Source organism: Homo sapiens, chromosome 19, assembly GCF_000001405.40.
Source record: "Homo sapiens chromosome 19, GRCh38.p14 Primary Assembly".
NCBI lineage: Eukaryota > Metazoa > Chordata > Mammalia > Primates > Hominidae > Homo > Homo sapiens.
Genome location: NC_000019.10, coordinates 27,241,126 through 27,258,811, shown reverse-complemented (window position 1 = coordinate 27,258,811; position 17,686 = coordinate 27,241,126). Strand labels below are relative to the sequence as shown.

The following is a 17,686-nucleotide window of genomic DNA, read 5'->3' as shown; positions in this document are numbered from 1 at the left end:
GCAGACAAAATATCCACTTGCATATTCTACAAAAAGAGTGTTTCAAAACTGCTCCATCAAAAGAAAGTTTCAACTCTGTGAGTTGAATGCAAACAACTCAAAGAAGATTCTGAGAATGCTTTTGTCTAGTTTTTATGTGGAGAAATTCCCGTTTCCAACGAAGACTTCAGAGCACTCCCAATATCCAATTGCAGAATCTACAAAAAGAGTGTTTCAAAACTGTTCTATCAAAAGGAAGGTTCAAATCTGTGAGTTGAATGCACACATCACAAAGTAGTTTTTGAGAATGCTTCTATTTTTTATGTGAAGATATACCCATTTCCAATGAAGACATCAAAGTACTCCAGTTATCCACGTGCAGATGCTACAAAAAGAGAGTTTCAGAACTGCTCTATCAAATGGAAGGTTCAATTCTGTGAGTTGAATGCACACATCACAAGGAAGTTTCTGAGAATGCTTCTGTCTAGTTTTTATTTGGAGATATTCCCTTTTCCAACCAAGGCTTCAAACCAATACAAATATCCACTTGCAGACACTACAAAAAGACTCTTTCAAAACTGCTCTATCAAAAGGAAGGTTCAGCTCTGTGAGTTGAATGGACACACCACAAAGAAGTTTCTGAGAAGGCATCTGTCTAGTTTTTATGTGAAGATATTCCCGTTTCCAACGAAGACTACAAATTACTCCAATTGTCCACGTGCAGATGCTACAAAAAGAGTGTTTCAGAACTGCTCTATCAAAAGGAAGGTTCAACTCTGTGAGTTGAATGCACACATCACAAGGAAGTTTCTGAGAATGCTTCTGTCTAGTTTTCATTTGGAGATATTCCCTTTTCCAACGAAGGCTTCAAACCACTACAAATATCCACTTACAGATACTACAAAAAGACTCTTTCTTTTTTTTTTTTAGTCATGACAGTAGGTATTTATTTGGAGTGAAAAAACAAACACAATGAATTATAAACTTAAAAATGCTTTAAATTTTTGAAATATACCACTCAGTTGATAAAAATAACATTTACAAATTATAGAATTGCATGACCCATCTTTGTAATAGTTTTTTGCTGCATACTCATTAATTGTCTTTATGTATGATAATTTTATAATTTTATTTTCTCTAGATCCTAAAAAGATATTTAGCTTTACTTGCTCTAGCATAGCTGGCTGATTAAGATGATTTTATTATCCTTACTTCTTTTAATTATTTAGGTATTATTCACATAACATACAAGTCACCATTTTCAAGTTTACAGGTTAATGTTTTTTTAGTATAGTCACAGTGTTATGTTAATCATCATGACCTAATTCTGGAACATTTCCATCACCACAAAAAGAAATCTCATAACTGACAGCAGTCACCTCCAATTCCCCAATCCTCTAACCCTTGGCACCTCAAATTTGCTATCTGTTTCTATGATTTTGCCTATTCTGGACATTTCATATAACTTGAATCATACAATATGTGGCCTTTTGTATTTGGTTTCTTTTATTTAGCATAATGTTTACAACGTTCATCCATGTTATAGCATGCAATAGCACTTCCTTTTTGTGGAAAATGACATTCCATATGTATATACCACATTTTGTTTAACCATTTATCAATAGATGAACATTTGGTTTCTTTCCACTTTTAGACTATTATAATTGTCACTGTGAACATTTAGTTTACCGGATTTTTTTTTAATTTTTCTTGTATTATTATACTTTAAGTTTTAGGGTACACGTGCTCATTGTGCAGGATAGTTACATATGTATACATGTGCCATGCTGGTGCACTGCACCCACTAACTAGTCATCTAGCATTAGGTATATCTCCCAATGCTATCCCTCCCCGCTCCCCGCACCCCACAACAGTCCCCAGAGTGTGATGTTCCCTTTCCTGTGCCCATGTGATCTCATTGTTCAATTCCCACCTATGAGTGAGATTATGCGGTGTTTGGTTTTGTGTTCTTGTGATAGTTTACTGAGAATGATGATTTCCAGTTTCATCCATGTCCCTATAAAGGACATGAACTCATCATTTTTTATGGCTGCATAGTATTCCATGGTGTATAAGTGCCACATTTTCTTAATCCAGTCTATCATTGTTGGACATTTGGGTTGGTTCCAAGTCTTTGCTATTGTGAATAGTGCCGCAATAAACATATGTGTGCATGTGTCTTTATAGCAGCATGATTTATAGTCCTTTGGGTATATACCCAGGAATGGGATGGCTGGGTCAAATGGTATTTCTAGTTCTAGATCCCTGAGGAATCGCCACACTGACTTCCACAAAGGTTGAACTAGTTTACAGTCCCACCAACAGTGTAAAAGTGTTGCTATTTCTCCACATCCTCTCCAGCACCTGTTGTTTCCTGACATTTTAATGATTGCCATTCTAACTGGTGTGAGGTAGTATCTCATTGTGGTTTTGATTTGCATTTCTCTGACGGCCAGTGATGATGAGCATTTTTTCATGTGTTTTTTGGCTGCATAAATGTCTTCTTTTGAGAAGTGTCTGTTCAAGTCCTTGGCCCATTTTTTGATGGGGTTGTTTGTTTTTTTTCTTGTAAATTTGTCTGAGTTCATTGTAGATTCTGGATATTAGCCCTTTGTCAGATGAGTAGGTTGCAAAAGTTTTCTCCCATTTTGTAGGTTGCCTGTTCACTCTGATGGTAGTTTCTTTTGCTGTACAGAAGCTCTTTTGTTTAATTAGATCCCGTTTGTCAATTTTATCTTTTGTTGCCATTGCTTTTGGTGTTTTCGACATGAAGTCCCTGCCCATGTCTATGTCCTGAATGGTATTGCCTAGGTTTTCTTCTAGGGTTTTTATGGTTTTAGGTCTAACATTTAACTCTTTAATCCATCTTGAATTGATTTTTGTATAAGGTGTAAGGAACGGATCCAGTTTCAGCTTTCTACATATGGCTAGCCAGTTTTCCCAGCACCATTTATTAAATATGGAATCCTTTCCCCATTGCTTGTTTTTCTCAGGTTTGTCAAAGATCAGATAGTTGTAGATATGTGGCATTATTTCTGAGGGCTCTGTTCTGTTCCATTGATCTATATCTCTGTTTTGGTACCAGTACCATGCTGTTTTGGTTACTGTAGCCTTGTAGTATAGTTTGAAGTCAGGTAGTGTGATGCCTCCACCTTTGTTCTTTTGTCTTAGGATTGACTTGGCGATGTGGGTTCTTTTTTGGTTCCATATGCACTTTAAAGTAGTTTTTTCCAATTCTGTGAAGAAAGTCATTGGTAGCTTGATGGGGATGGCATTGAATCTGTAAATTACCTTGGACAGTATGGCCATTTTCACGATATTGATTCTTCCTAACCATGAGCATGGAATGTTCTTCCATTTGTTTGTATCATCTTTTATTTCCTTGAGCAGTGGTTTGTAGTTCTCCTTGAAGAGGTCCTTCACATCCCTTGTAAGTTAAAACTGCTCTATCAAAAGGAAGGATCAGCTCTGTGAGTTGAATGGACACATCACAAAGAAGTTTCTGAGAATGCATCTGTCTAGTTTTTATGTGAAGATATACCCGTTTTCATCGAAGACTTCAAAGTACACCAATGATGCACTTGCAGATTCTACAAAAAGAGTGTTTCAAAACTGCTCTATCAAAAGGAAGATTCAACTCTGTGCATTGAATGAACACATCACAAGGAAGTTTCTGAGAATGCTTCTGTCTAGTTTTTATGTGAATATATTCCCGTTTCCAATGAAGGCTTAAAGCACTCCAAATATCCACTTGCAGACACTACAAAAATACTCTTTCAAAACTGCTCTATCAAAAGGAAGGTTCAGCTCTGTGAGTTGAATGGACACATCACAAAGAAGTTTCTGAGAAGGCATCTGTCTAGTTTTTATGTGAATATATTCCCGTTTCCAACGAAGACTGCAAATTACTCCAATTATCCACGTGCAGATGCTACAAAAAGAGTGTTTCAGAACTGCTCTATCAAAAGGAAGGTTCAACTCTGTGAGTTGAATGCACACATCAGAAGGAAGTTACTGAGAATGCTTCTGTCTAGTTTTTATTTTGAGCTATTCACTTTTCCAACAAAGGCTTCAAACCACTAAAAATACCCACTTGCAGATACTACAAAAAGACTCTTTCAAAATTGCTCTATCTAAAGGAAGGTTCAGCTCTGTGAGTTGAATGGACACATCACAAAGAAGTTTCTGAGAATGCATCTTTCTAGTTTTTATGTGAAGATATACCCGTTTTCATCGAAGACTTCAAAGCACTCCAATTATCCACATGCAGATTTTACAAAAAGAGTGTTTCAAAACGGCTCTATCAAAAGGAAGATTCAACTCTGTGAGTTGAATGCACACATCACAAGGAAGTTTTTGAGAATGCTTCTCTCTAGTTTTTATGTGAATATATTCCCGTTTCCGATGAAGGCTTAAAGCACTCCAAATATCCACTTGCAGATACTACAAAAAGAGCGTTTCAAAACTGCTCTATCAAAAGGAAGGTTCAACTCTATGAGGTAAATGCACATATCTAAAAGAAGTTTCTGAGAATACTTCTGTCTAGTTTTCATGTGAGGATATACACGTGTCCAACGAAGACTTCAAAGTACCCCAATGATCAACTTGCAGATTCTACAAAAAGAGTGTTTCAAAACTGCTCTAATAAAAGGCAGGTTCAACTCTGTGAGTTGAATGCACACATCACAAGGAAGTTCCTGAGAATGCTTCTGTCTTTTTTTTATTTGGAGATATTCCCGTTTCCATTGAAGGCTTGAAACCACTACAAGTATCCACTTGCAGATACTACAAAAAGACTCTTTCAAAACTGCTCTATGAAAAGGAAGGTGCAGCTCTGTGACTTGAATGGACACATCACAATGAAGTTTGTGAGAATGCATCTTCTAGTTTTTATGTGAAGATATACCCGTTTCCAATGAAGACTTCAAAGTACTCCAATAATCCACTTGCAGATACTACAAAAGGAGTGTTTCAAAACTGATCTTTCAAAAAGAACGTTCAACTCTGTGAGTTGAATACACACATCACAAGGAAGTTTCTGAGAATGCTTCTGTCTAGTTTTTTGTGAATATATTCCCGTTTCCAAGAAAGGCTTCAAAGCGTCCCAAATATCCAATGGCAGATACTACAAAAAGAGTGTTTCAAAACTGTTCTGTAAAAAGATAAGTTTAACTCTGTGAGATGAATGCCCACATCACAATGCAGTTTTTGAGAATGCTTCTGTCTATTTTTCTTGTGACGATATTCCCGTTTCCAACAAAGCCTTCAAAGCACTCCAATTATCCACTAGCACATTCTGCAAGAAGAGTGTTTCAAAACTGCTCTTTCAAAAGAAAGGTTAAATTCTGTGAGTTGTAAGCACACATCACTAAGTAGTTTCTGAGAATGTTTCTTTCTAGTTTTTATATGAAGACATTTCCTTTTCCACCATAGGCTTCTGAAGATTCCAAATATCCACTTGCAGATTCTACAAAAAGAGTGTTTCAAAACTGCTCTATCCAAAGTGGGGTTGAACTCTGTGAGTTGAATGCACACATCTCAATGAAGTTTCTGAGAATGCTTCTGCCTAGTTTTTATGTGAAGATATTCCCATTTCCAAAGAAGGCTTCAAAGCAGTCCAAATATCCAACTGCAGATTCTACAAAAAGTGTGTTTCAAAACTGCACTATCATAAGGAAAGTTCAACTCTGTGAGTTGAATACACACTTCACAAAGTATTTTCTGAGAATGCCTCTGTCTAGTTTTTATGTAAAGATATTCCCGTTTCCGACGAAGGTCTCAAAGTAGTCCAAATATCCACTTGCAGATTCTATAAAAAGAGTGTTTCAAAACTGCTGTATCAAAAGAAAGCTTAAAATTTGTGAGTTGAATGTACACATCAAAAACTAATTTCTGAGAATTCTTCTTTCCAGTTTTTGTATAAAGAAATTTCCTTTTCTACCATAGGCTTTAAAGGGCTCCAAATATCCTCTTGCAGATTCTCCAAAAAGAGTGTTTCAAATCTGCTCTACCAATGCACACATCACAAAGAAGTTTTGGAGAATGCTTCCATCTAGTTTTTATGTGAAGATATTCCTGTTTCCAATGAAGGCTTCAAAACACTCCAAATATACACTTGCATGTCCTTCAAAAAAAGTATTTCAAAACTGCTCTATCAAAAGGAAGGTTCAACTCTGAGAGTTGAATGGACACATCACAAAGAAGTTTCTGATAATGCTTCTGTCTGGTTTTTATGTGAAGATATTCTCGTTTCAAACGAAGGCCTCAACACGCTCCAAATATCCACTTGCAGATACCACAAAAAGAGTTTTTCAAAACTGCTGTATCAAAAGAAGGTTCAACACTTTGAGGTGAATGCCCACATCACAAAGAAGTTTCTGAGAATGCTTCTGTCTAGTTTTTATGTGAAGATATTCCCATTTACAATGAAGGCCTCAAAGCAGTCCAAATATCCACTTGCGGATTCTACAAAAAGAGTGTTTCAAAACTGCTCAATGAAAAGAAAGTTTCAACTCTGTGAGTTGAATGCAAACAACACAAAGAAGTTTCTGAGAACACTTCTGACTCGTTTTTATGTGAAGATATTTCCTTTTCCACGGTATCCGTCAAAGTGCTCCAAATGTCCCTTTGCAGATTCTATAAAAAGAGTGTTTCAAAGTTCCTCTATCAAAAGAAAGGTTAAAGTCTCTGTGTTGAATGCACACATCATGAAGTAGTTTCTGAGAATACGTCTGTCTATTTTTTTTATGAAGATATTTCCTTTTCTACCACAGGCCTCAAAGCGCTCCAAATATCCACTTGCAGATTCTACAAAAAGAGCCTTTCAAAACAGATCTATCAAAAGGAGGTTTCAACTCTCTGAGTTGAATGCTACCATCACAAAGTAGTTTCTGAAAATGCATCTGTCTAATTTTTATGTGAAGATATTCCCGTTTCCAAAGAAGGCTTCTAAGTACTCGAATTATCCACTTTCAGATTGTACAAAAAGATTGTTTCAAAACTGCAAAATGGGAGAAAATTTTCGCAACCTACTCATCTGACAAAGGGCTAATATACAGAATCTACAATGAACTCAGACAAATGTACAAGAAAAAAACAAACAACCCCATCAAAAAGTGGGTGAAGGACATGAAAAGACACTTCTCAAAAGAAGACATTTATGCATCCAAAAAACACATGAAAAAATGCTCATCATCACTGGCCAACAGAGAAATGCAAATCAAAACCACAATAAGATACCATCTCACACCAGTTAGAATGGCAATCATTAAAAAGTCAGGAAACAACAGGTGCTGGAGAGGATGTGGAGAAATAGGAACACTTTTACACTGTTGGTGGGACTGTAAACTAGTTCAACCATTGTGGAAGTCAGTGTGGCGATTCCTCAGGGATCTAGAACTAGAAATACCATTTGACCCAGCCATCCCATTACTGGGTATATACCCAAATGACTATAAATCATGCTGCTATAAAGACACATGCACACGTATGTTTATTGCGGCATTATTCACAATAGCAAAGACTTGGAACCAACCCAAATGTCCAACAATTATAGACTGGATGAAGAAAATGTGGCACATATACACCATGGAATACTATGCAGCCATAAAAAATGATGAGTTCATGTCCTTTGTAGGGACATGGATGAAATTGGAAATCATCATTCTCAGTAAACTATAGCAAGAACAAAAAAATCAAACACTGCATATTCTCACTCATAGGTGGGAATTGAACAATGAGATCACATGGACATAGGAAGGGGAATATCACACTCTGGGGACTGTGGTGGGGTTGGGGGAGGGGAGAGGGATAGCATTGGGAGACATACCTAATGCTAGATAACTAGTTAGTGGGTGCAGTGCACCAGCATGGCACATGTATACATATGTAACTAACCTGCACAATGTGCACATGTACCCTAAAACTTAAAGTATAATAAAAAACAAACAAACAAAATAGGTTTATAATAAATAAATATTTTTCATTTAAAAAAATAAAAATAAAAATAAAACAAAGGCCTCAAAGCTGTCCAAATATCCACTTGCAGATTCTGCAAAAAGAGTGTTTCAAAACTGCTCTATCAAAAGAAATTTTTAACTCTGTGAGTTGAATGCAAACATCAGAAAGAGGTTTTTGAGAATTTTTCTGTCTAGTTTTTATGTGAAGATATTTCCTTTTCTACCATAGGCCACAATGCACTCCAAATATCCAATTACAGATTCATCAAAAAGAGTGTTTCAAAACTGCTCTATCAAAGGAAAGGTTCAACTCTGTGAATTGAATGCACATATCACAAAGAAGTTTCTGAAAGCTTCTGTCTAGTTATTATGTGAAGGTATTTCCTTTTCCACCATACCCACAAATTGCTCCAAATATCCACTTGCAGATTCTACAAAAAGTGGGTTTCAAAACTGCTCTGTTAAGAGATATGTAAAATTCTGTGAGTTGAATGTACACGTCACAAAGGAGTTTTTGACAATGCTTCTGTCTAGATTTTATTGGAAAATATTTCCATTTCCACCAAGGCTTCAAGGTAATCCAATTATCCACTTGCAAATACTACAAGAAGAGTGTTTCAAAACTGCTCTGTCAAAAAAAAAGTTTAAATTCTGGGATTTGTAAGCACACATCACAAAGAAGTTTCTGAGAATGCTTCTGTCTAGTTTTTATGTGTAGATATTTCCTTTTCTACCATAGGCTTCAAAGAGCTACAAATATCCAACTGCAGATTCTACAAAAAGAGTGTTTCAAAACTTCTACACCAAAGCAAAGGTTCAACTCTGTGAGTTGAACGCACACATCACAAGGAAGTTTCTGAGAATGCTTCTGTCTAGTTTTAATGAGAATATATTCCCGTTTCCAATGAAGGCTTCAAAGCACTCCAAATATCCACTTCCAGATACAACAAAAGAGCGTTTCAAAACTGCTCTATCAAAAGGCAGGTTCAACTCTGTGAGTTGAGTGCACATATCAAAAAGAAGCTTCTGAGAATGCTTCTGTCTAGTTTTTATGTGAATATATTACCTTTTAAAACGAAGGCTCCAAAGCACTCCAAATATCCACTTGCATATTCAATAAAAAGAGTAAAAACAGCTCTATCAAAAGGAAGATTCAACTCTGCTCTGTCTAAAGGAAAGTTCACCACTGTGAGTTGAATACACACAACAAAATGAAGTTACTGAGAATTCTTCTCTCTAGCATTATATGAAGAAATCTTGTTTCCAAAGAAGGGCTCTACTAGGTCCAAATATCCACTTGCAGACTTTACAAACAAAGTGTTTCCAAACTGCTCAATGAAAAGAAAGGTTAAACTATGTGAGGTGAACACACACATCACAACGAAGTTTCTGGGAGTGATTCTGTCTAGCTTTTATACGAACATATTTCCTTTTCTACAGTTGGCCTCAAAGCGGCTGAAAGCTCCACTTCCAAATTCCACAAAAAGAGTGTATCAAATCTGCTCTGTCTAAAGGAGGGTTCAACTCTGTGAGTTGAATACACACAACACAAGGAAGTTACTGAGAATTCTTCTGTCTAGCCTTATATGAAGAAATCCCGTTTCCAACGAACGCCTCAAGGAGGTCCAAATATCCACTTGCAGAATTTTCAAACAGAGTGTTTCCAAACTGCTGAATGAAAAGAAAGGTTAAACTCTGTGAGTTAAATGCACACATCACAACGCAGTTTCTGGGAATGATTCTGTCTAGTTTTTATACGAAGATATTTCCTTTTCTAACACTGGCCTCCAAGCTCTTGAAATTTCCACTTGCAGATTCCACAAAAAGAGTGTCTCAAATCTGCTCTGTCTAAAGGAAGGTTCAACTCTGTGAGTTGAATGCACACACCAAAAGGAAGTCACTGAGAATTCCTCTGTCTAGCATTATATAAAGAAATCCCGTTTCCAACGAAGGTCTCAAGGAGGTAAAAATATCCACTTGAAGACTTTACAAACAGAGTGTTTCCCAACTGCTCTATGAAAACAAACGTAAAACTGTGAGTTGACGCACACACCACCATGCAGTTTTGGGGAATGATTCTTTCTAGTTTTATATGAAGATATTTCCTTTTCTACCATTGGCCTCAAATCGCTTGAAATCTCCACTTACAAATTCCACAAAAAGAGTGTTTCAAATCTGCTCTGTATAAAGGAAGGTTCAACTCGGTGAGTTGCATAAACACAACACAAAGAAGGTACTAAGAATTCTTTCGTCTACCACTATATGAAGAAATCCCGTTTCCAACGAAGGCCTCAAAGAGGTCCGAATATCCACTTGCAGACTTTACAAACAGAGTGTTGCCTAACTGCTCTATGAAAAGAAAGATTAAAGTCTGTGAGTTGAACGCACACATCACCAAGCAGATTCTGATAATCATTCTGTCTAGTTTTTCTACGAAGATATTTCCTTTTCTAACATTGTCTTCAAAGCGGCTGAATTCTCCACTTGCAAATTCCACAAAAAGAGTGTTTCAAATCTGCTCTGTCTAAAGGAACGTTCAAAACTGTGATATGAATACACACAACACAAGGAAGTTATTGAGAATTCTTCTGTCTAGCATTATATGAGGAAATCCCGTTTCCAGCGAGGGCCAAAAAGAGGACCGAATATCCACATGCAGACTTGACAAACAGAGTGTTTCCAAATGGCTCTATGAAAAGAAAGGTTAAACAAAGTGAGTTCAACGCACACATCATAACGCAGTTTGTGGGAATGATCCTGTCTAGTTTTTAAACGAAGATATTCCCTTTTCTGCCATTGACCTTAAATCGCTTGAAATCTCCACTTGCAAATTCCACAAAAAGCGTGTTTCAAATCTGCTCTGTCTAAAGGAACGTTCAACTCTGTGAGTTGAATACACACAACACAAGGAAGTTACTGAGAATTCTTCTGTCGTGCCTTATATGAAGAAATCCCGTTTCCAACGAACGCCTCAAGGAGGTCAAAATATCCACTTGCAGATTTTTCAAACAGAGTGTTACCAAACTGCAGAATGAAAAGAAAGGTTAAACTCTGTGAGTTAAACACACACATCACTACGCAGTTTCCGGGAATGATTCTGTCTAGTTTTGAAACGAAGATATTTCCTTTTCTGCCATTGACCTTAAATCGCTTGAAATCTCCACTTGCAAATTCCACAAAAACAGTGTTTCAAATCTGCTCTGTCTAAAGAAACGTTCAACTCTGTGAGTTGAACACACACAACACAAGGAAGTTACTAAGAATTCTTCTGTCTAGCCTTACATGAAAAAAACCCGTTTCCAACGAAGGCCTCAAAGAGGTCAAAATATCCACTTGCAGACTTTACAAACAGAGTGTTTCCTAACTGCTCTATGAAAAGAATAGTTAAACTCTGTGAGTTGAACGCTCACATAACAACGCACTATGTGGGAATGATTCTGTCTATTTTTTCAACGAAGATATTCCTTTTACTGCCATTGAGCTTAAAGCGCTTGAAATCTCCACTTGCAAATTCCACAAAATGAGTGTCTGAAATCTGCTCTGTCTAAAGGACCGTTCAACTCTGCGAGTTGAATACACACAACACAAGGAAGTTACTGAGAATTCTTCTGTCTAGCGTTACATGAACAAAATACGTTTCCAACGAAGGCCTCTACTAGATCCAAATATCCACTTGCAGACTTTACAAACAGAGTGTTTCCAAACTGCTCAATGAAAAGAAAAGTTAAACTCTGTGACTTGAACGCACACATCACAACGCAGTTTCTGGGAATCATTCTGTCTAGCTTTTATACGAAGATATTTCCTTTTCTACAATTGGCCTCAAAGCGCTTGAAATCTCCACTTGCAAATTCCACAAAAAGTGTGTTTGAAATCTGCTCTGTCTAAAGGAATGTTCATCTCTGTGGGTTGAATCCACAAAACAAAAGGAGGTTACTGACAATTCTTCTGTTTAGCATTATATGAAGAAATCACGTTACCAACGAAGGCGTCTAATAGGTCCAAATATCCACTTGCAGAGTTTACAAACAGAGTGTTTCCAAACTGCTCTATGAAAAGAAAGGTTAAGGTCCGTGAGGTGAACGCACACATCACAACGCAGTTTGTGGGAATGATTCTGTCTAGTTTTGAAACGAAGATATTTCCTTTTCTACCGTTGGCCTCAAAGCGCTTGAAATCCCACTTGCAAATTCCGCAATGAGAGTGTTTCAAATCTCCTCTGTCTAAAGGAACGTTCAAATCTGTGAGTTGAATACACACAACACAAGGAAGTTACTGAGAATTCTTCTGTCTAGCCTTACATGAAAAAAACCCGTTTAAAACGAAGGCCTCAAAGAGGTCAAAATATCCACTTACAGACTTTATAAACAGAGTGTTTCCAAACTGCTGAATGAAAAGAAAGGTTAAACTCTGTGAGTTCAACTCACACATGACAAAGAAGTTTCTGAGAATCATTCTGTATAGTTTTTATATGAAGACATTTCGTTTTCTACCATTGACCTCACAGCGGCTGAAATCTCCACTTGCAAATTCCACAAAAAGAGTGTTTCAAATCTGTCTGTCTAAAGGAACGTTCACCTCTGTGAGTTGAATACACACAACAAAAGGAAATTACAGAGAATTCTTCTGTCTAACCCTATATGAAGAAATCCCGTTTCCAACGAACGCCTCAAGGAGGTCCAAATATCCACTTGAAGACTTTTCAAACAGAGTGTTTCCAAACTGTTGAATGAAAAGAAAGGTTAAACTCTGTGAATTGAACGCACACAGCACAACGCAGTTTCTGCGAATGATTCTGTGTAGTTTTTAAACGAATTTATTACCTTTTTTACCGTTGGCCTCAAAGCGCTTGAAATCTCCACTTGCAAATTCCACAAATAGAGTGTTTCAAATCTGCTGTGTCTAAAGGAACGTTCAAATCTGAGAGTTGAATACACACAACATGAAGAACTTACTGAGAAATCTTCTGTCTAGCATTATATGAAGAAATCCCATTTCCAACGAAGGCATCTAAGAGGTCCAAATATCCACTTGCAGACTTTACAAACAGAGTGTTTCCAGAATGCGGTATGAAAAGAAAGGTTAAACTCTGGGAGATAAACACACACATCACTACGCAGTTTCTGGGAATGATTTTGTCTAGTTTTTATGCGAAGATATTTCCTTTTCTACCATTGGCAACAAAGCTCTTGAAATCTCCACTTGCAAATTCCACAAAAAGAGAGTTTCAAGTCTGCTCTCTCTAAAGGAACGTTCAACTCCGTGAGTTGAATACACACAACACAAGGAAGTTACTGAGAATTCTTCTGTCTAGCCTTACAAGAAAAAAACCCGTTTCCAACGAAGGCCTCAAAGAGGTCAAAATATCCACTTGCAGACTTTACAAACAGAGTGTTTCCAAACTGCGGAATGAAAAGAAAAGTTAAACTCTCTGAGTTGAACACACACATCACAGAGCAGTTTCTGAAAATGATTCTGTCTAGTTTTTATACGAAGATATTTCCTTTTCTGCCATTGGCCTCAAAGCGCTTGAAATCTCTACTTGCAAATTCCACAAAAAGAGTGTTTTAAATCTCCTCTGTCTAAAGGAAGGTTCAAATCTGTCAGTTGAATACACACAACACGAAGAAGTTACTAAGAATTCTTCTCTCCAGCATTATATGAAGAAATCCCGTTTCCAAAGGAGGCATACAAGTGGTCCAAATATCCACTTCCAGACTTTACAAACAGAGTGTTTCCAAAAAGCTGTATGAAAAGAAAGGTTAAACTCTGTGAGTAAAACACCCACATCACTACGGAGTTTCTGAGAATGATTTTGTCTTGTTTTTATACGAAGATATTTCCTTTTCTACCATTGGCCTCTAAGCGCTTGAAACTTCCAGTTGCCAATTCCAAAAAAAGAGTATTTCAAATCTGCTCTGTCTAAAAGAAGGTTGAACTCTGTGAGTTGCACACACACAACACAAAGAAGTTAGTGAGAATTCTTTTGTCTAGCATAATATAAAGAAATCCCGTTTCTAACGAAGGCCTCAAAGAGGTCCGAATATCCACATGCAGACTTCAAAAACAGAGTGTTTCCAAACGGCTCTATGAAAAGAAAGGTTAAACTTTTTGAGTTGAACGCACACATCACAACGCAGTTTCTGGGAATGATTTTGTCTAGTTTTTAAACGAAGATGTTTCCTTTTCTGCCATTGACCTTAAAGCGCTTGAAATCGCCACTTGCAAATTCCACAGAAGGAGGGTTTCAAATCTGCTCTGTCTAAAGGAAGGTTTAACTCTGTCAGTTGAATACACACAACACAAAGAAGTGACTTAGAATTGTTTTGTTTAGCAGTATATGAAGAAATCCCGTTTCGAACGAAGGCCTCAAAGAGGTCCAAATATCCACTTGCAGAATTTACAAACAGAGTGTTTCCAAAATGCTGTATGAAAAGAAAGGTTAAACTCTGTGAGTTAAACACACACATCACTATGCAGTTTCTGGGAATGATTTTGTCTAGTTTTTATGCGAAGATATTCCCTTTTCTACTATTGGAATCAAAGCGCTTGAAATCTCCACTTGCAAATTGCACAAAAAGAGTGTTTTAAATCTGCTGTGTCTAGAAGAAAATTCAATTCTGAGAGTTGAATACACACAACACAAGGAAGTTAATAAGAATTCTTCTGTATAGCCTTACCTGAAAAAAATCCGTTTCCAATGAAGGCCTCAAAGAGGTCAAAATATCCACTTGCAGACGTTACAAACAGAGCATTTCCAAACTGCTGAATGAAAAGAAAACTTAAACACTGTGAGTTGAACGCACACAGCACAGAGCAGTCTCTGAGAATGATTCTGCCTAGTTTTTATACGAAGATATTTCCTTTTCTGCGTTTGGCCTCAAAGGACTTGAAATCTGCATTTGCAAATTCCACAAAAAGAGTGTTTGAAATCTGCTCTGTCTAAATGATGGTTCAACTCTGACAGTTGAATACACACAACACGAAGAAGTTACTAAGAATTCTTCCCTCTAGCATTATATGAAGAAATCCCGTTTCCAACGAAGGCCTCAAAGAGGTCAAAATATCCACTTGCAGACGTTACAAACAGAGCGTTTCCAAACTGCTGAATGAAAAGAAAACTTAAACTCTGTGAGTTGAACGCACACAGCACAGAGCAGTTTCTGAGAATGATTCAGTCTAGTTTTTATACGAAGATATTTGCTTTTCTGCGTTTGGCCTCAAAGGGCTTGAAATCTGCATTTGCAAATTCCACAAAAAGAGTGTTTCAAATCTGCTCTGTCTAAATGAAGGTTCAAATCTGACAGTTGAATACACACAACACAAAGAAGTTACTAAGAATTCTTCCCTGTAGCATTATATGAAGAAATCCCGTTTCCAACGAAGGCATCTAAGAGATCCAAATATCCACTTGCAGACTTTACAAACAGAGTGTTTCCAAAATGCTGTATGAAACGAAAGGTTAAACTCTGTGAGTTAAACACACACCTCACTACGCAGTTTCTGGGAATGATTTTGTCTTGTTTTTATACGAAGATATTTCCTTTTCTACAATTGGCCTCCAAGCGCTTGAAATCTGCACTTGCAAATTCCACAAAAAGAGTGTTTCAAATCTGCTCTGTGTAAAGGATCTTTCAAATCTGTGAGTTGAATACACACAACAGAAGGAAGTTACTGAGAATTCTTCTGTCTAGCATTATATGAAGAAATCCCGTTTCAACGAAGGCCACAAAGAGGTGAGAATATCCACTTGCAGCCTTGACAAACAGAGTGTTTCCAAACGGCTCTATGAAAAGAAAGGTTAAACTCTGTGAGTTGAACGCACACATCACAGCGCAGTTTCTGAGAATCATTCTGTCTAGTTTTTATACGAAGATATTTCCTTTTCTGCCATTGACCTCAAAGCGGCTGAAATCTCCACTTACAAATTCCACAAAAAGAGTGTTTCAAATCTGCTCTGTGTAAAGGATCTTTCAAATCTGTGAGTTGAATGCACACAAGACAAGCAAGTTACTGATAATTCTTCTGTGTAGTATTTTATGAAGAAATCCCGTTTCCAACTAAGGCCACAAAAAGGTCGGAATATCCACTTGCAGACTTGACAATCAGAGCGTTTACAATCGGTTATATGAAAACAAAGGTTAAACTCTGTGAGTTGAACGCACACATCACAATGCACTTTTTGGAATGATTCTGTCTAGTTTTGAAATGAAGATATATATCTTTTTCTGCCATTGACCTTAAAGCGCTTGAAATCTCCACCTGCAAATTGCACAAAAAGATTGTTTCCGATCTGCTCTGTCTAAAAGAACGTTCAACTCTGTGAGTTGAATGCACACAACACAAGGAAGTTATTGGGAATTCTTCTGTCTAGCCTTACATGAAAAAAAACCCGTTTCCAACGAAGGACCCTAAGAGGTCAATATATCCACTTGCAGACTTTACAAACAGAGTGTTTCCAAACTGCTGAATGAAAAGAAAAGTTAAACTCTCTGAGTTGAAAGCACACATCACACAGCAGTTTCTGAGAATGATTCTGTCTAGTTTTTATACGAAGATATTTCCTTTTCTGCCTTTGGCCTCAAAGCGCTTTAAATCTCCACTTGCAAACCCCACAAAAAGAGTGTTTCAAATCTGCTCTGTCTAAGGGAAGGTTCAACTCTGTCAGTTGAATACACACAACAAAAGGAAGTTACTGAGAATTCTTCTGTCTAGTGTAATATGAAGAAATCCCGTTTCCAACGAAGGCCTCAAAGAGGTCCGAATATCCACTTGCAGACTTGACAAACAGAGTGTTTCCAAACTGCTGAATGAAAAGACAAGTTAAGCTCAGTGAGTTGAACGCACACATCACAGAACCGGTTCTGAGAATGATTCTGTCTAGTTTTTTGCGAAAATATTTCCTTTTGTGCCTTTGGAATCAAAGCGCTTGAAATCTCCACTTGCAAATCCCTCAGAAAGAGTGTTTCCGATGTGCTCTGTCTAAAGGAAGGTTGAACTCTGTGAGTTGCATACACACAACACAAAGAAGTTACTGAGAATTCTTCTTTCTAGCATAATATGAAGAAATCCCGTTTCCAACGAAGGCCTCAAAGAGGTCCGAATATCCACTTGCAGACATTACAAACAGAGTGTTTCCTAACTGCTCTATGAAAAGAAAGGTTAAACTCTGTGAATTGAACGCACACATCACAAAGGAGTTTCTGTCTTGTTTTTATACGAAGGTATTTCCTTTTCTACCATTGACCACAAAGCGTCTGTAATCTCCACTTGCAAATTCCACAAAAAGTGTGTTTAAAATCTGCCCTGTTTAAAGGATCGTTCAACTCTGTGAGTTGAATACACACAACACAAGAAAGTTACTGAGAATTCTTCTGTGTAGCATAACATAAAGAAATCCCGTTTGCAACGAAGGCCTCAAAGAGGTCTGAATATCCAATTGCAGATTTTACAAACAGAGTGTTTCCTAACTGCTCTATGAAAAGGAAGGTTAAACTCTGTGAGTTGAACGCACACATCACAAAGCAGTTTCTGAGAATCATTCTGTCTAGTTTTTATACGAAGATATTTCCTTTTCTACCACTGACCTCAAAGCGGCTGAAATCTCCACTTACAAATTCCACAAAAAGAGTGTCTCAAATCTGCTCTGTGTAAAGAACCGTTCAACTCTGTGAGTTGAATACACACAACACAAGGAAGTTACTGAGAATTCTTCTGTCTAGCATAATATAAAGAAATCCCGTTTCCAA

General features: G+C 37.3%; 10 annotated features.

The window, feature by feature from the left end:
• Positions 9,134-10,007: an enhancer, noted in NCBI's record as "OCT4-NANOG-H3K27ac-H3K4me1 hESC enhancer chr19:27739713-27740586 (GRCh37/hg19 assembly coordinates)". NCBI's record gives its function as "activates a minimal SCP1, AML or CMV promoter by ChIP-STARR-seq in naive and primed H9 embryonic stem cells {active_cell/tissue: H9 hESC(naive and primed)}" and the evidence as "EXISTENCE:reporter gene assay evidence [ECO:0000049][PMID:30033119]".
• Positions 10,008-10,881: an enhancer, noted in NCBI's record as "OCT4-NANOG-H3K27ac-H3K4me1 hESC enhancer chr19:27738839-27739712 (GRCh37/hg19 assembly coordinates)". NCBI's record gives its function as "activates a minimal SCP1, AML or CMV promoter by ChIP-STARR-seq in naive and primed H9 embryonic stem cells {active_cell/tissue: H9 hESC(naive and primed)}" and the evidence as "EXISTENCE:reporter gene assay evidence [ECO:0000049][PMID:30033119]".
• Positions 10,882-11,755: an enhancer, noted in NCBI's record as "OCT4-NANOG-H3K27ac-H3K4me1 hESC enhancer chr19:27737965-27738838 (GRCh37/hg19 assembly coordinates)". NCBI's record gives its function as "activates a minimal SCP1, AML or CMV promoter by ChIP-STARR-seq in naive and primed H9 embryonic stem cells {active_cell/tissue: H9 hESC(naive and primed)}" and the evidence as "EXISTENCE:reporter gene assay evidence [ECO:0000049][PMID:30033119]".
• Positions 11,756-12,631: an enhancer, noted in NCBI's record as "OCT4-NANOG-H3K27ac-H3K4me1 hESC enhancer chr19:27737089-27737964 (GRCh37/hg19 assembly coordinates)". NCBI's record gives its function as "activates a minimal SCP1, AML or CMV promoter by ChIP-STARR-seq in naive and primed H9 embryonic stem cells {active_cell/tissue: H9 hESC(naive and primed)}" and the evidence as "EXISTENCE:reporter gene assay evidence [ECO:0000049][PMID:30033119]".
• Positions 12,663-13,231: an enhancer, noted in NCBI's record as "OCT4-NANOG-H3K27ac-H3K4me1 hESC enhancer chr19:27736489-27737057 (GRCh37/hg19 assembly coordinates)". NCBI's record gives its function as "activates a minimal SCP1, AML or CMV promoter by ChIP-STARR-seq in naive and primed H9 embryonic stem cells {active_cell/tissue: H9 hESC(naive and primed)}" and the evidence as "EXISTENCE:reporter gene assay evidence [ECO:0000049][PMID:30033119]".
• Positions 13,232-13,800: an enhancer, noted in NCBI's record as "OCT4-NANOG-H3K27ac-H3K4me1 hESC enhancer chr19:27735920-27736488 (GRCh37/hg19 assembly coordinates)". NCBI's record gives its function as "activates a minimal SCP1, AML or CMV promoter by ChIP-STARR-seq in naive and primed H9 embryonic stem cells {active_cell/tissue: H9 hESC(naive and primed)}" and the evidence as "EXISTENCE:reporter gene assay evidence [ECO:0000049][PMID:30033119]".
• Positions 14,098-14,622: an enhancer, noted in NCBI's record as "OCT4-NANOG hESC enhancer chr19:27735098-27735622 (GRCh37/hg19 assembly coordinates)". NCBI's record gives its function as "activates a minimal SCP1, AML or CMV promoter by ChIP-STARR-seq in naive and primed H9 embryonic stem cells {active_cell/tissue: H9 hESC(naive and primed)}" and the evidence as "EXISTENCE:reporter gene assay evidence [ECO:0000049][PMID:30033119]".
• Positions 14,713-15,564: an enhancer, noted in NCBI's record as "OCT4-NANOG-H3K27ac-H3K4me1 hESC enhancer chr19:27734156-27735007 (GRCh37/hg19 assembly coordinates)". NCBI's record gives its function as "activates a minimal SCP1, AML or CMV promoter by ChIP-STARR-seq in naive and primed H9 embryonic stem cells {active_cell/tissue: H9 hESC(naive and primed)}" and the evidence as "EXISTENCE:reporter gene assay evidence [ECO:0000049][PMID:30033119]".
• Positions 15,565-16,417: an enhancer, noted in NCBI's record as "OCT4-NANOG-H3K27ac-H3K4me1 hESC enhancer chr19:27733303-27734155 (GRCh37/hg19 assembly coordinates)". NCBI's record gives its function as "activates a minimal SCP1, AML or CMV promoter by ChIP-STARR-seq in naive and primed H9 embryonic stem cells {active_cell/tissue: H9 hESC(naive and primed)}" and the evidence as "EXISTENCE:reporter gene assay evidence [ECO:0000049][PMID:30033119]".
• Positions 16,418-17,269: an enhancer, noted in NCBI's record as "OCT4-NANOG-H3K27ac-H3K4me1 hESC enhancer chr19:27732451-27733302 (GRCh37/hg19 assembly coordinates)". NCBI's record gives its function as "activates a minimal SCP1, AML or CMV promoter by ChIP-STARR-seq in naive and primed H9 embryonic stem cells {active_cell/tissue: H9 hESC(naive and primed)}" and the evidence as "EXISTENCE:reporter gene assay evidence [ECO:0000049][PMID:30033119]".